At 35.3% G+C, this 17899-nt stretch overlaps 1 protein-coding gene across 7 annotated transcripts in view, besides 2 other annotated features; it reads right to left on the reverse strand.

Moving 5' to 3' along the window:
* PABPC4L (poly(A) binding protein cytoplasmic 4 like) overlaps positions 1–17899 on the reverse strand; it is a 253443-nt gene that overhangs the window by 105608 nt on the left and 129936 nt on the right. The gene's annotated exons all lie outside the window — the stretch shown is intronic.
* Positions 6320–6529: a silencer, noted in NCBI's record as "fragment chr4:134981541-134981750 (GRCh37/hg19 assembly coordinates)". NCBI's record gives its function as "represses an EF-1alpha promoter that drives an FKBP-Casp9 reporter gene in an ReSE screen in phorbol 12-myristate 13-acetate-treated (for megakaryocytic differentiation) K562 erythroleukemia cells {active_cell/tissue: K562(+PMA)}" and the evidence as "EXISTENCE:reporter gene assay evidence [ECO:0000049][PMID:32094911]".
* Positions 16620–17308: an enhancer, noted in NCBI's record as "H3K27ac-H3K4me1 hESC enhancer chr4:134991841-134992529 (GRCh37/hg19 assembly coordinates)". NCBI's record gives its function as "activates a minimal SCP1, AML or CMV promoter by ChIP-STARR-seq in primed H9 embryonic stem cells {active_cell/tissue: H9 hESC(primed)}" and the evidence as "EXISTENCE:reporter gene assay evidence [ECO:0000049][PMID:30033119]".

Consider the following 17899-nt stretch of genomic DNA (forward strand, 5'->3'; position numbering starts at 1 on the left):
AAATTAATGAGACTTAATACTAGACAAATAATAAACTTTAATGAGAATAAGAGAGCTCTTTCTCCATATAAATTAACAAGCTTAATTTAGTCATCTTCAAGTCTATGAATTTCTTTTTTTAACTATATTGCCTGTGTTTCTAATATATTTTGATTTTTTTTAAAGAGACTACTTTAGTTGTATATGTATATATATATATATATATATATATATATATATATATAGTTATGCTAGTAGTTTTGATTGCAATTCTGGAGTTTTAAATAAATTTTTTTTTATTTTAAGTATAAATTCAGATGAAAATTTCAGTATAATAGAGATCCCTTGTATCCTTTACATAATTTCCATCAATGATAACATCTTAATAACTATAGTATAATACCACAACAAGGATATTGACAGAAGAGTCCCATCACTGGAAGGATCCCCCATTACTGTTTTATAGCCACATCTACTTTTCCTTTGGCCCCTATCACCTCATTAGTTCCTGACAAGCACTAAACTCTTCTTCATTTCTCTAAATTTTGTCAACTTCAAAAATGTTATATAACTGTAACTAACATGTCACATAAAGTATGTGATCACTTGAGATTGCATTTTTTTCACCAAGTATAATGCCTTTGATATCCATTTGAGCTGTTTATGCATTGGTAGTTTATTTCCTTTTTATTGCTCAGTAATATTCCCTGGTATCTATGTTCACTTTGTTTAACCTTCCAACTCATATAGGGTATCTAGACTGTACAAATAAAGGTATGATAAACATTCATGTACAGGTTTTTGTGTGAACATACAATTTCATTTCTTTGGGGAAAATGTCCAAGAATTCAATTGCTGGATTGTATGATAATTTTACTGTTAATATTTTAAGAAAACACCAGATCATCTTGTATAGTGGCTAGACCATTTTACATTGTTGGCAGTGATGTTTTAATGATCTAGTTTTTCTGAATACATGCTAGGGTTTGGTGTTAGTAATGATATATCATTGTGGCTTTAATTTGCATTTTCCTGGTTACTAATGACTTGAAACATCTTTTATGGATTTATATGCTGATATGGATTGAATGGTCTTCCCCATAAAAATCATATATTGAAGCTCTAACCCTCAATATGACTTTATTTGGAGATAAATATGACTTTATTTGTCATGGTTTTCATATTAATACACAACAAAACAAGAATAAAGTGCACTATATAGGAGGGCCTATATAGTGGAAATAAAGGTTAAGTGAGGTCTTAAGGGTGAGGCCTTGGTCTGGTAGGACTGGTGTCCTCATAAGAAGAGGAAGACATATGAGAGAGCTCTCTCTGTCCCTGAACTGCACAGAGAAAAGGTCGTGTAGGGACACAATGAGAAGATGGTCATCCACAAGCCAGAAAGAAAGGCCTCTCTAGCAAACAACTCTTAAGGGCACCTAAATCTTGGACATCTAGCCTCCAGAGCAATGAAAAAATTTTTTTCTATCGTTTAAGCCACCTAGTCTGTGGTATTTTATTATGACAGTACTAGAAGACTAATACATATGCCATCTGTGTCTCTTCACTGAAATGTTCCCCGTGGTTTTTTTTTTTTTTTTGGCAATTTTCTAATTGGATTGATAATTTTTTTTTAATGTTGAGTTTCAAGAGTTTTTTACATATACCAGATCCTAGTGCTTTGTCATAAACATTGTTTATAAATATTCTTTCTCAATTTTGTATCTTGTCTTTTCATCTTAATAGAGTGTTTTGCAGAAAAAGAAAATGTTTAATTTTGTTGAAGTCTAATTCATCAAATTTTTTGTATGGACCATGCTTTCAGTGTCAAGACTAAGTACTCTGCCTAGCCCTAGATTATGAAGACTTTTGTATGTTGTTTTAAAGTGTCAAAGTTCTGGATTTCATACATAAGTCTGTGATGTATTTTGAGCTAATATTTTATATAATGTATGAGACATAGATTGAGTTTTATTTTTTAACTATTGATGTCCAAATTGCTATAGCACCATTTGTTGAAAGGCTATCTTTCCTTCATTGAAGTGCTTTTGCACCTTTGTAAAAAAAAATCAGTTGGGCATATTTATATCGGCCTTTTCTGGATGCGCTATACTGTTTTATTGATCTGATATTGATCTGAGTGTTTATCCTCTCCATATTAATTGAAATATCAATAACGCACAGTTTTGAGTACTCTATATCATGATCTTGAAATTGGTTAGAGTGTTTCCCCCTATTTTATACTCTTTTTCAAAATTGTTTTAGTAATTTTAGATATTTTGCCTTTCTACAGAAATATTAAAATAGTTTATATCTATATCTACATAAATATTACTGTGATTTTGAAGGGAAAAGCATTAAATCTGTATATCAATTTGAAGACAGTTGACAATTTTGCCATGTTGAGTCTTACAGTCCATGAGCATAGTATTTCTTTGCATCTATTTACATTTTTCATTTCTATTAGCAGTGGGTTCTATTTTTAAGCATATAAGTTCTATACAGTTCTGGTTAGAATTATACCTAAATATTTAATTTAGGTATGAATTAATACATAATATTATTTAAACTTTAATGTTAAATTATTAATATCTAATGATTGAAAATCTTATTGTATTTTTTAATTTTAGTATCCACATATTTACTACTAGTACTTAGAAATACAATTGATTTTTTACTATGTATTTAATACCCTCCAAACTTGCTAAACATACTTGTAAGTTCTAGATGTTTTTTGGTAGATTCCTTGATGTTTCCTATTGGGACAATTACATCATTTATAATAAGGACAGTTTTGTTTCTTCTTTTTCTGGCTGTGTATCTTTATTATTTCTTTCTTCCATTATTGCACTGGCAAAAACTTCCAGTTTTATGCTGAATAAACCTGAGCGCCATAGATATTCTTGTCTTGTTCTCAATTGTAGGAGAAAAACACCAAGTCTTTCATCATTAAGTATAACATTACCTAGAGGTTTTTTGTATACTTTATCAAGATGAGTTAGTTATCTCCATTCCTATTTTTCTGGGAGTTTTTGTTATGAATAAATATGAAGTGGTTATCAAGTGTTATTTTGTGTGTGTACATTGAATGATATGGCCATGTGATTTCTCATGCTGACATCTTTCTCCTCTCCCTCTGTGACTCCAGTGACACTAATGTTATATCTTCTGTTATAGTCAGAGAAGCCTCTGAGCCTTTTTGTTTATAGTCTGCTTTGTCTCTGATATTCAAATTGGTAATTTTTACTATTCTACCTTCTAACATATTATTTTTTTCTCTGTCTTTTCTGTGGGGAGTTACTGCTTCATACATGGTTTCCATTGATATAATGAGGGAGTGGTGATGGCCTCGTTACCATTTTGCTGTGATGAAAGTCGGACTGTTCACTAGGCCTCATCTAGCACTCTGACATCATCCCATTGGTGAGAGGGAGGATTGATTTGTCATGGCCAGTTGAGGATGGAAGCCCAGGATTTCCACATGATCTCCATTGGCACAACAGGTGTGACCCTATTACTGCTCATTGAAGATGAAAGTTCTGCCTCCTGACTCAGCCTTTTCTGACACCACCCTGAAGGGAGCATTAAGGTGAGCTGTTGTAACTTGTCAACAGTGGAAGTCTGTTTTTGGTGGTGCGTATCTATTCATGTTTTGGAATTGCTGGCTTCTTTAGCTCCAAGCTGGCAATATATGAGGCAAAAAGAAAACCTACAGAATTCAACACCATGTCATTTCTTGTATCCTATGTGTCTAGGCCATCTGTTTTCTTTCTACCTTTCAGTCTTCTAGTGCTTATTTTATATATAATTTTCAGGGATTCTAGTTATACAAAGATATCTACTTCGTCTTTCTGGAAGCAAAGTAGCTATATTTTCTTTTTGGGGAAGTAAATTAAAATAATTCTTATGAGAAAGAAAAAACAGTATTTCATTCTTTATAATCACAATCAAATTGTGACAAAAACAGCATTTTTAAATATGAGTTGAGGTGATGAAAAATATTAGGATCTAAGTGTCTAATAAGAAACGAAAATGTAGTTATGCTGCTCAAGAATAAAACAGGGCTGTAAATGTCAATTTGAAAACTATGTGCATATCACTAATTAGCCAATTGTGAAATGATTGAGACTACTTAAAAAGTATTTGGAAAAAAGGAAAAAAGAAATATAGAATTTTGAAGATAAAACATACTTAAATAAATTGAGAAGAAGAGTAAGAAAAATAGATTTGTTGTTTTTCCAAAATTTATCTAAAAATAGGCAAGCCCATTCTTTTGGTCTTATATTATTCTTTAAACATAGTTTTGAAAATATATACTAAAAAACTGATAAGCACTTCTTATGATAAACTAGGGTCTGTGCTTCAAAGAACAATATTTGTCATTTTTCAGTATATTAAAAAAAGGTGCCTTAGGCTTTAAAGATGTTAGAAAGAGGAATCAGACACACATGCACACACACACACGAGTTATTGCAACAAGATGGAAATAAGAGTATATCCTATTTCTCAGTCTCATTCTATTACAGCACATCATTTAAGCAGTTTGGTAATATGATATCCTGAGTGTGAAGGCAAGGTAGATTCATTCCTCTAGATGTTTACTTCTTTGATTTTAAAAACTGAAATATTTACTCCTCTCATATCAATATCAGAAAATACCACTGGCCTTGAAATCAACTTTAATTCTTCAGATAAATATATTGAGAAATATCTTTACTATTTCTGCTTCACAAAATTCCAGTTCAGCACCAGTAAAGACATATAATTTTATAAACCAAGGAAGACAAAGAGAATAGCAGAGAGCATGACAACAGATGGGAGATGTCAGTGAAATTATAGAAGAGTAAATTAGTTTAGAGTGTTAACTGATTTAGACGAGCAGTGAACACTGAAATCTAAGTGTTAAAAGAAAAGCCACACCTCAAAAAATCAAATTGAACTGCAATATGACACTCTAGAAAGTTTTATTTATTGAGTGAACAAATATCTCAAGAGAAGGGGGTAAACGGTAAGGCTGAAAAGCAGAATAGTTATTTAAAAGTCTGTATCAGAACAGTAGAAATTCCAGATTTCCTATTTTGTCACCCCAAATCCAGGTAACTAGTACTCCCCAATCTAGGAAAATGATATTTCATGACCTACTCCAAAAATGATCTGATTCCCACCAGATTGCCTGCAATGAAACCTCTTTTCATCTATCCTCATCCATGTACATACATCTCCAAATTATACTTAAAGGTTCGTCGGAAAGTTGAGTAAAGTCTTATCATACAAGACAAGGATGAAAGAAAAAAAAAGAAAAATTAATTAGAGAAAAGCAGAAACAATTTAGGAAACAAACTATATATATATATATATATAGTGTGCGTGTATATATAGTGTGTATATATGTATATATACACACATGTACACATACACACACATTATTTGCAAATACATTTAATTATTTTATATTCTCAGAAAGAAAATACTTACATAAGTTTATGTTCACCTATATACAAATTATTATCCTCAGGGAGATAATAGAACATATGGCACTGATGAAATATGAACAAGATATCATAAAATTAATAATAATCAGAAATAGAACTATAGAAATAATATTATAGAAAAATTTTAACAAAGTTCAATAGAACGGTTAGTTGGCAATATTCAGGAAGTCCCCTGAAATGTTGATGAAAAACAGGAGAGAAAAGATAGGAAAATAAAAGCTTCAAAAAAAGAAAAAAGAGAGGCGAAGCAAGATGGCCAAATAGAAGCCTCCAACGAATCATCTCCCCGACAGGAATACCAAATTTAACAGCTATACAGAAAAAGCACTTTCATAAGAACCAAAAATTAAGTGAGCATTCACAGTACCTGGTTTTAACTTCGTATCTCTAAAAGAAGCACTGAAAAGCACAGGGAAAACAGTCTTGCATGGCTGATGCCACTCCCTCCCACATACTCCAGTAGCCTGGTGCAGAGAGAGAATCTGTATGCTTGGAGGAGGGAGAGCACAGTGATTGCGAGACATTGCATTAAACTCATGCTCCCCTGTCTCAATGGAAAGCAAAACATCACTGAACTCAGCTGAATCCCACCCATGGAGATAGCATTTAGACCAGCTCTCACCAGAGGGGAATGGCTCTTTCCAGCAGTCAGAATTTGAGTTCTGGTAAGCCTTGCCACCATTGGCTAAAGTGCTCTGGGGTACTACATAAACTAGAAAGGCTGTCTAGGCAATAAGGACTGAAACTTGTAGGCAAGTCCTAGTGCTGAGCTGGGCTTATAGTCAGTGGACTTGGGGACCATGACCTAATGAGACACCAGCCAGGGCAACTAAGGGAGCACTTGTGCCAACACTCCCTGAAACCTAGGCAGCACAGCTTACAGCTCCAGATCAGAACCCATCCTTCTGCTTGAGGAGAGGAAAAGAAAGAGTAAAGAGGACCTTTGTCTTGAATCTTGAATACCAGCTTAGTCACAGTAAGATAGGACACCAGTCAGAGTTGTGAGGTCACCCATTCCATGCCCTAGATCCAAGATAACATTTCTAGGCATACCCTGCACCAGAAGGGAACTTGCTGTCTTGAAGGGAAGGACTCAGTCCTGGCAGGACCCATCACCTGGTGACTAAAGAGCTGTGCACCCTAAATAACCATCAGCAATATCTAGGTATATGGTACATATACACAGGGAGTATTGTTCAGATGTAAGAAGAATGAGATCCTGTCATTTGCAACAACATGGATGGAACTGGAGGTCATTATGTTAACGGAAATAAGCCAAGCATAGAAAGACAAACTGCATGTTTTCACTTATTTGTGAGAGCTAAATATTAAAACAATTGAACTCATGAAGATAGAGAGTGAGAAGGATGGTTACCAGAGGCTGGGAAGGATAGTGTGGGAGTGAGGGAGGATGTCAGATGGTTAATGGGTACAAAAAATACCTTGAAAGAATGAATAAGACCTAGTATTTTCCAGCAAAAGAGGGTGACTATAGTAAAAAAATAATTCAATTGTGCATTTAAAAATAACTAAAAGAGTATAATTGGATTGTCTGTAACACAAAGGATAGATGCTTGAGGTGATGAATACCTCATTTACCCTGATGTGATTATTATGCATTTTATGCCCATATCAAAATAGCTCATGTAACACATCAATATATACCCCTGCTAGGTACCCACAAAAATTAAAAATTAAAAGAATTCCAATTAGAGTATGAGTGTTTAAAAAAAACCATAAAAACAGAAAAAATACATAATCAAATAAATAATTCAAAAAATTTCCCAGGGCTCAAAGATACACTCTTATATGAAATGACCCACCGAATTAAAGATCAATGAATGCCAACAGGGTCACTCCAAGATATATCATACACCACTCTGAAATTAAAATCCTGGAATAAAGAGAAGATCCTAAAAGCTTGCAGAAGAGAAGAAAGTTTTAAATCTTAAAAGACAACAGAGATGTAAAGAAGGAAAGTCTGAGAAGAATAAAGAGGGGAAATGTCCTGTAAGAACAATCAAGAAGTGGAATGACACCAGTCTTTAATATAATACACATACACACAAACACAAACATACACAGAGAGAGAGAGAGAGAGAGAGAGAGAGAGAGAGAGAGATTGGAGATATTAAACATTAATCCCCTCTGTATACTTCAAAAGAGGAGGGGATTCAAGAAAAAGACAAAAATTGAATTTACTTAATAGGATCTAAAACAAGAAGTGAAGCATAAATGCTCATGTCTTAATAGTTATTGTTAATTACAGAAGTTTTAAGACACATAAGAGAAAAAAAGAAAAGAAAAAGAAGAAAGAAGGAAAGAAAGAAAGAAGGAAAAAGGTGTCAAGAAAATGACAGAAAATATTATTAAAGATTTTTAAGCAATTTTTAATTATATTGAATACCAACCCTCATAGGATGACAGTTATGCATCAAGGAAAATGCAATAAACATACAACTTGTAAATGCAAGCCAGAAAACAATATGATACTAATCTTAAATCTAATGGAATATCATATGATTATGTTTATTAGTTGGGTGGTTAAGATAGGAAATGTATGAAAAAGAAAAAAAAAACATAGGAACTCTGCCTGTGTCAAAGGGTTTTAAGCCTACCCAGCACTATTTATTTTATATATTGAGGCAAAAAATTACTAACTGTATTGGAGCTGAGAATTTCTGAGGTTTGGAGGTATATCAGCTTTCTTCAAATTCAGGGAGTATATGATTCAAGGGAGTATATGATGATTTTTCATGAGACTCGCAGGTCAGTATATTTTTTGCAGGTATTCATTTCCTAATCCTGTTATTGCATTTACTCTTTTCTAAACTGACCTGCCAAAAGGTTGCAAAATTAGTTTTACTTTCCCATCTCCCCTGCACAATCCTTCTTTTGCCTTTACAAAAGAAAGGCAAGTCTCTTATTCATCTCAAAGTGTTAATATGGAGCATTGTGCTAGCATGTAAAAAAAAATCTTCAAGGCATCAAATACAAAAGTGATTAAACAAATTGATGTTACTAGTAAGAAAGCAGCAGAGAAACATATCCCATTACAATTCAAGAGACTCCAATTTATAGATTTCCACAAAATTAATTAAAACTTAGGCTTACAAATGGTAGATGATGAAATCAATTTTATGATATTTTACTATGCTATTTTGACTATAAAGCTGTTATAAAAATAATTCAGTGATATCACTGTACAAAAAATTTGACCAGTACTACCTATCTTTACATGTGAAAACTAGTTCTTAAAACTTTCATTAATAAAAACAAAAGTTAGGAATAAAAATTCATGGAAAACCTGGATCATTCTACCAAAACTAATATTTATTCATGAACTATATGTAACCTATTTGGAGAAAAAGGGAGGTGAAATGCATTTCACCACAATGTTAATGCTTCATGTTTAAAAATTATTTGGCAGGTTTCTACTTCTGGCTGTAGTGGAGTATGTGGTTTCAACCAGTCTTCTCTCATTGAACAACTAGACAAGCCAGACAAAATATTTTAATGTATTTTCTTGAAGATTGTTTGAAGGCTTTAGCGAGCAACTGAGGCTGTGAAGAATTGTCAGACCAAGGTCCAGGAAAGAAGAAAAGTCTCAAAAGGTGAGCTTACCTTTTAGGGTGACTGTTCAACTAGAGGCATTTATCTGTTCCCATATTGAAAGAAAAGCTGTGTGAGAAATGCCAAGAAGCTAAGTTGAGCTTCTAATAGACGTGTTGGTTTGAGGGGACAAAATTTAGATTCCAGAGCCTGGCAAGGAAAATATTCATTATTAATAGCTTTCTCTTGAATCTCATATCCTCTTGAACTCTCAGTTCTCTTTATAATTTCATAATACAGTGCTGTCAACATAAAAGGCACAGCAAGATAGGGCAAGCCAGGGCACCGTATGCTGAGGGGCAATGGGCAAGGTAAATACATGGGTAACCTAAATTAATATGTATTTGATAAAAAATAGTATAAAGACAATTAAAGTAACAAGATTTGAAATATATACCCACAATAATATAAACACTTGCCAATATTGACTGTATACTGTGTCACAGAGGAGATCTCAACAATGTCAAAGTTACAAATCATAGTAAAAGTGTTCTTCGTACTATTTTTAAAAAGGAAACTGTATGCTAATTTTAAATACTTGTATTAAATCATAATTTTGTTTAATATATAAAATGAATATGAAATCTTGTCATTCTAGGCAGTAAATATAAATACTATAACCAGACCAATAAAAAAAGTAAATGGGTGCTTATCTTTCCTACTAATAAATAAGTTATTTATTGTTCTTCTGTTAGATATGAAATAAAAGTTTCTCTGACAATCTTTTCCTTATACTTCACTTTGCTTATGAACAAACTTGTAATATGGTCTCAATGCTGAGAAAATTAATCAGATATTATAATCATATATCCAAGGACACTCCTGAAAATTATTCCTAAAACATTTATGGTGGCAATTATTGATTTGAATCACCAATTTTCTAGATTTTTATCTTATTCTAAAACCAAACACATGCATAAAGAAAATAATGAACATGCAGAACTTATTCTCCACGATAATTAGGTATTTTATAAATATTTATAATGTGTAATACAAATTTGGGGAGGAATAATATCTAAATCCGATGAGTATTGGCTTGTCCAGATTAGAAGTTGCCCTTGTTTCCAGTTAAAAACTTAAGGGGAAACCAGATGAATGCCAAAAAGAAATTAAGTTAATCAAATTCCCAAGTAGGATTTATGAAATTTGAGATTTGGGTTTACAAAGAGTCTCAGGACACCTTATTATTAAAATCTTGATTTTTAAAATGTAATTAGACATATTCACATATTATAATAAAGAGGCAAAGCAAGAAACTTAGATGGGGACCACTTGGTTGATATTAATTGATAAATAGTAACCGGTGTAATGGGTTAGATGTGCTTTTGGGAGAATAATACAAATAATTTAAATGTGATCTCTTTATAAAGTCTGCCTCTCTCACCTCTCTCGGAATGAGATATCATTCATGACCATATAGAAACACTTGCTCTTTTTTGGTTTTGTTTATTATTCTAACTTTTATTTAGGTTCAGCATACACGTAGAGGTTTGTTATATAGGTAAAGTGCATGTCACAGGAGTTTGGTGTACAGATTATTTTGTCACCCAGGTAAGAAGCATAAAATGCAATAGGTAGCTTTTCATTTCTCACACTTCTCATACCCTCCACCCTCTAGTAGGCCCAGTGTCTGTTGCTTCCTTCTTTGTGTCCGTATGTACTCAATGTTTAGCTCCCACTTATAAGAGTGAACATGAGGTATTTGATTAACTGTTCTTGTTAGTTCTCTTAGGATACTGGCCTCCAGTTGCATCCATGTTGCTGGAAAACGATATGATTTTGTTTTTTTTGGCTGTGTAGTATCCCATGGTCTATATGCACCACAATTTCTTTATTCAATCTACTGTTGATGGGTATTTATATTGAATCCACGTTTTTGCTATTGTGAATAGTGCAGTGATGAACATGAGTTTTCAGGTGTCTTTGTGATAGAACAATTTATATTCCTTTGGGTATAGACCCAATGTGGGATTACTGGCTCAAATGGTAATTCTGTTTTAAGTTCTTCGAGAAATTGCCACACTGCTTTCCACAATGACTGAACTTATTTACATTCCCACCAGCAATGTATAAGCTTTCCCTTTTCTCTACAACCTCCCCAACATCTATTAATTTGTGAATTTTTAGTAATAACCATTTTGATGGGTGTGAGATGATATCTCATTGTGATTTTGGTTTGTATTTATCTAATATTAGTGATGTTGAGCATTTTTTATATGCTTGTTGGCTGTACGTATGTCTTCTTTTGAAAAGTTTCTGTTCATGTCCTTTGCCTGCTTTTTCATGAGGTTGTTTGTTTTTGCTTATAAATTTGTTTAAGTTACTTGTAGACCTTTGTCTAGTATCCAAAATCAATAAGTAAATTAAACAAATTTATATTTACATTGTCTGCAAATACTTTCTTCCATTCTGGAGGTAGTCTGTTTGCTCTGTTTAGAGTTCCTTTTGCTGTGCAGAAGCTCTTTAGTTTAATGATTCCCATTTATGACTTTTTTATTTTTTTCGCAGTTGTTTTTGTCATTTTTATCATGAAATCTTTGTCACATTCTATGACCAGAATAGTATTTCCTAGGATATCTTCCAGGGTTTTTATATTTTCAGGTTTTACATTTAAGTCTTTAGTCCATCTTTGGCAGATTTTTGTATATGGTGTAAGGAAGGGATCCGGTTTTAATCTTTTGCACCTGGCAAGCCAGTTATCCCAGCACCAATTATTGAACAGGGAGTCCTTTTCAATGTTTTTGTCTATCTTGTTGAATATCAGATGGTTATAGGTGTGCAGCATTACTTCCGGGATGTCTACTCTGTTCCATTGGTCTATGTGTCTGTTTTTGTGCCAGAACCATGCTATTTTGTTCAACTTGCAGTATAATTTGAAGTTGGGTAGTGTGATGCTTTCAGTTTTGTTCTTTTTGCTAGGCTTGCCTTTGGTATTAGGGCTCTTTTTTCATTTTGTATGAATTACGAAATAGTTGTTTTTAATTCTGTGAAGAATGCCATGGTAAATTGATGGGAAAGTATTGAATCTCTAAATAGCTTTGAGAGTTTTGTTCATGTCATCTATGATTTCTTTTATCAGTGTTTTGTAATTCTCATTGTAGACATATTTCACCTCACTGGTTAGCTCTATTCCTAGACATTTTTCTTTTTGTGGCTATTGTAGAAGGCATTTCATTCAATTCAGCTCTCAGTTTGGATGTTGCTTGTATAAAGAAATGCTACTGATTTTTTTAGATTGATTTTGCATCCTGAAATGTTGCTGAAGTTGTTTATAAAGACCTAAGAGCTTTTGGGCAGACTATTCGGTGTTCCAGGTATAGAATCATACTGTCTGGAAGCAGAATAGTTTGACTTCCTCTCTCCCTATTTGGATGCCTTTTATTTCTTTTTCTTTCCTGATTTCTCTGGCTAGGACTTCCAGTTATATGTTGAATAGGAGTGGTGAGAAGAGCATCATTGCCTTGTTCCAGTTTTAAAGGGGAATGCTTCCAGCTTTTGCCCGTACAGTATGATGTTGGCTGTTGATTTGTCATAGATGGCTCATATTATTTTGAGGTATGTTCCTTCATTGCCTGTTTTTTTGAAGGCTTTTAACATGAAGAGAGGTTGAATTTTACTAAAAGCCTTTTTTGCATCTATTGAGATGATCATTAGCTTTTTGTTTTAGCTCTGTTTATGTAATGAATTAAATTTATTGATTTGCATATGTTAAACCAAACTTGCATCCCAGAAATAAAGCCCAGTTAATCATGGTGGATTAGCTTTTTTATGTGCTGCTGGATTTGGATTGCTAGTATTTTGTTGAGGATATTTGCATCTATTTTTACCAATAATATTGCCTTGAATTCTTCTTTTTGTTGTTTCTGCCAGGTTTTGGTATCAGGACAATGCTGGCCTCATATTATGAATTATAGAGAAATCTCTCCTCCTTAATTTTTTTGGAATAGTTTGAGTAGGAATGTTACAAGCCCTTCTTTATGCATCTGGTAAAAAGTAGCCGTGAATTTGATCCTGAACTTTTGCCGGTTGGTAGGTTTTTTACTACTTATTCAATTTTGGAACTGTAGTTAGTCTGTTCAGGAATTCAATGTATCCCTTGTGTAATTGTTGGAGGTGGTAAGTTTCCAATAGTTTATCCATTTCTTCTAGGTTTTCTAGCTTACGTACATAGAGATGTTCATAATTGTCTCAGGATTTTTTGTATTTCTGTTGGGTCAGTGTAACATCCTTTTATTCATTTTTGATTGTGTTTATTTGGATCTTCTTTCTTTTTTCTTTATTAGACTAGCTAATGGTCTACCTGTCTTATGTATTCTTTCAATAAACCAACTCCTGGACTCATTAATTTTTATATGGTTTTCCACAACTTAATTTCCTTCGGTTCAGCTCTGATTTTGGTTATTTCTTGTCTTCTGCTAGCTTTGGGGTTGTTTTGCTCTTGTTTATCTAGTTTCTTCAGGTGTGATGTTAGGTGGTTAATTTGAGGTCTTTCTGACTTTTTGATGTGTGCATTAAGTGCTACAAATTTCCCTCTTAACCACCTTAGTAATGTCCCAGAGATTCTGATATGTTATATCTTAGCTCTCATTAGTTTCAAAGAATATTTTATTTCTGCCTTAATTTTATTGTTTGTCCAAAAGTCATTCAAGAGCAATTTGTTTAATTTCCATGTAATTGTTTGGTTTTGAGTGATTTTCTTAGTATTGATTTTAATTTTTTATTGCATTGTGGTCTGAGAGTGTAGTTTTTATGAGTTTGGGTTGTTTGAATTTGCTAAGAATTATTTTATGGCTGACTATATGGTTGCTTTTAGAGAAAGTGCAGATAATAAAAAATGTATATTTTGTTGGTTTGGGGCAGAGTGCTCTTTAGATATTTGTTAGGTCCATTTGGTCAAGTGTTGAGATCAGGTCGTGAATATGTTTGTTAATTTTCTGTTTTGATGATCTTTCTAATAACGTTAGTGGAGTGCTGAAGTCTCTCACTATTATTGTGTGGGAATCTAAAGTCTCTTTGTAGGTCTCTAAGAACTTGCTTTACAAATCTCAGTGCTCCTATATGCTGGGTGCATATATATTAACATAGTTAGGTCTTTTTGTTGAATTAGACCTTTACCATTATGTAATATCCTTCTTTGTCTCTTTTAATCTTTGTTGGATTAAAGTAGGTTTTGTCTGAAATTAAAATAGCAATCCCCGCTTTTTCTTTTCTCCATTTGGTTGGGAGACTTTTCTCCTTCCCTTTACTTTGAGCCTGTTGGTGTCGTTGCATGGGAAACAGGTCTCTTGAAGACAGTCTGCTATTGGATGTTGCTTCTTTATTCAAATTTCCACTCTGTGCCTTTTCATTGGTGTATTTAGCCTGTTTACATTCAAGGTTAATATTGGTATGTATGAAATTGATCATGTCATCATGTTGTTAGCTGGTTATTATGCAGACTGTGAGGTTGCTTTACAGTGTCAGTGATCTATGTACCTCAGTGTGTTTTTGTGGTGGCTATTAGGTGTTTTTCCTTTCCATATTTCTATATTTAGCACTCCCTTCAGTACCTCTTTTAAGATACATCTTTTTTTTTTTTTGACAGGGTCTCGCTCTGTTGCCCAGGCTGGAGTGCAGTGGTGCAGTCTCGTCTCACTGCAACCTCCACCTCCTGGGTTCAAGTGATTCTCCTGCCTCAGCCTCCCAAGTAGCTGGGACTACAGGGATGCACCACCACTCCTGGCTACCTTTTTGTATTTTTAATAGAGACGAGGTTTCACCATTTTGGCCAGGCTGGTCTCGAACTCCTGACCTCAGGTGATCCAACCACCTGGGACTCCCAAAGTGCTGGGATTACAGGTGTGAGCCACTGCACCCAGCCATGATAGGTCTTAGGGTAACAAGTTCCCTTAGCATTTGCTTATCTGGACTAGGATCCTATCTCTCCTTCGCTTATGAAGCTTCATTTGGCTGTATATTAAATTCTTGGTTGGAATTTCTTTTCTTTAGGAATGTATGTCCCCAATCTCTTCTGGCTTGTAGGGTTTCTGCTGAAAGGTCTGCTGTTACCCTGTTAAGTTTCCCTCTATAGGTAACATGCCCCTTCTCTCTAGCTTATTTTAACATTTTTTCTTTCATTTTGGTGTTGGAGAATATGATGACTATGTGCTTTAGGTATGATCATGTTGTATAGTATCTCAGAGGGGTTCTCTGCATTTTTTGAACTTGAATGTTGATCTCTTTAGCAAGGCTGGGGAAATTTTCATGGACAATATCCTGAAATATTTTTTAAGTTGCTTGCTTTGTCTCCCTCTCTTTCAGGGACATCAATGACACACATATTTTGTCTCTTTACATAATCCCATATTTTTGGAGAGTATTTGTTCTTATTTAATCATTTTTCTTTATTTTTTCTGACTGAGTTATTTTGAAGAACTGGTCTTTAAGCTCTGAGATTCTTTCCTCAGCTTGGTCAATTCTGCTGTTAATACTTGTGATAGTATTCTGAAATTTTTGAAGTGAGTTTTTCAACTCTATCAAATCAGTTTGGTTCTTTCTTAAAATGACCATTTCATCTTTCGTATCCTGTATTATTTTATTACATTCCTTAAAATCCTTGCGTTGGGATTTGGCTTTCTCCTGAATATCAATAATCTTTATTTCTGTCCATATTCTGAGTTCTATTTCTGTCATTTCAGCCATTTCAGCCTGGATATGAGCCATTGCTGGGGAAATAGTTCAGTTATATGGAGGGAATAAGACATTCTGGTTTTTGAGTGGCCAGAGTTCTAGCATTAGTTTTTTCTCATCTGTGTGGTCTGATGTTCCTTTGGTCCTTGAAGTTGCTGTCCTTTGGAGGGTTTTTTTTTTTTTTTTTGGCTTTTATTTTCTTTGATGCCCTTGGGGGTTTGATTTTTGCATAAGATGGATTTATGCTACATTTCCAGACATTTTTAGGGGGCCAAGGCTCAGCTCAGCCCTCCAGGAATGTGTGCTGTGTGGTTTCATGTTGGTCCCCAGCTTTGTTTTCTGGACCCTTGTGAGCTTAGGAACGTGCTGCATTGGTGGGGCCTAGGTGCTCCCGTACCACTGACCACAGCACTCTGATGAGTGGTGCCAGCCAGAGTGGTTCTTTAAGACAGTGGCAGCAGGATTCAAGCTTGTTCACAAGTGCCAGCAGCAGCGGCAGTGTGGTGGGGTGCATGTGCATCGGCTGTGGTGAGGTAGCAGTGGGGGCTGGGCTGACACATTTTTGCAGGCCTTCATACCAGCAGCAGGGGTGGTGAACTGGCCTGTGCAAGGCTGTTGGCCTCCTTGTGTCAGATTAAGGCAGTTGTGGTGATGGCACAGCGGGGCATGGGGTTGTCAGTGCAACAGCAATGGTGGCATAGTGGGGTGGAGGGTGAGGTACGCTCATGCCAGCTGCAGTGTCCCAGTGGGTGTGCATGCACTCACATGCCGCTGGAGGAGGGGAGGTGTGGTCTGCCCACCCAGACACTGGCAAAGCAGTGGGGGTGTGGCTGTGGGTCACTGTGGGCCAGCAAAATGTGCAGGTGAACTGGTACATGTTGGTGGAGGTCACTTAGAGCTCTCCCATGGTCAGGTGCAGTCTGCTGGCAAAAGAGCTACCATGAGGGCCCCAGGGTAGCATCCCAGTTGGGCAGCTGCAGCTTCACTGCAACAAGGTGGCCAGACTTGTGCCCCAGGGGAGGCCAGCAGAAAAGAGAGAACACAGATCAGACTGGCCTTGTCTCATGGACAAGACTACTCTGCTCTCTCCAGGTCCGACATTCTCCATATGGCTAAAGTCTCCTAGAGGAGCATGGCGAGCCTTGGGAAATGGGCATTACTGGACATGCTCCACTGCAGATGTTCCCATACCAAACCCTGAGGGCTTCAGACAGGCTGGAGTACTGTTCCTGCCACCTCTCTAAGCAGTTCTCCCTGATAGCTGAAGTGTTTGTGGAGGTCATAAGGTCTCCTGCTGCCAGGATTCTGGAGGTCCATGGCAAGAGCACGTTGCTCAACTCCTGTTCAGCTCATGGCTTCCTGAGGAGTCAGTGGGAGTCAGGAAAGTCCCTGTGTGCAGTAGTGCCATGCAGGGTTCCCAGCTTCCTCCTCATTCTGCCCATCATCTGTGTCCTCCCTCTGTCCACTCTCAGTGCCTTCCTCTGAAGATACACTCTGAGTGTGCCAGTCTTCCTTATGTACCAGTCTCTTGGTGGTAGATGTTCCTTCTAGCTGCATCTTATCAGACATCTTGAATCACTGAAACACTTGTTTTGACAAGTTATGCTAATTGGCCCTAGAACCGATTGAGAACTTTGATCAATATCCAAACACAAGTTATTAAAATTCTTTGGTGTTTTCATTCCTCTACTAATAGATTTCTATGAGTGATCATTGTACCTCTCACACCACCCTATGCCTTTTGAGGCAAACTGTTATAACAATATTGAAGATAATTTAAATGAAATAGTGGGGAGTGACTTTAGGCATGAGGCTGAGGTAGTTTGAAAAAGGAGACTGTTGTTTTCTCTGTAAATTAAGAAACACAGTAATGCACAAAAAATATGGGCAAGGTGATTGGGTTAGACATTTTAATACAGTAAATAATTTAAAATACTCAGTTTAGAGAACCAGGAAGTGAAACAATTTAGAAAAATCTTGTAGAAATTCTAAGCATTTAATGATCCCTGTTAAGAATAATGAAGATAACTTTATAGTTGCCTGTTTGTCTTTAGTAATCCTCAGCAATCCAGACAGGAGTATAGAAAAAGTGGAAAGAGGGGTTCCTTTAGACTTTAGGTTTTAGTTGTATAGATAAGAATGTTGAA

This window comes from Homo sapiens, chromosome 4, assembly GCF_000001405.40.
Source record: "Homo sapiens chromosome 4, GRCh38.p14 Primary Assembly".
In the NCBI taxonomy this organism is placed as follows: domain Eukaryota; kingdom Metazoa; phylum Chordata; class Mammalia; order Primates; family Hominidae; genus Homo; species Homo sapiens.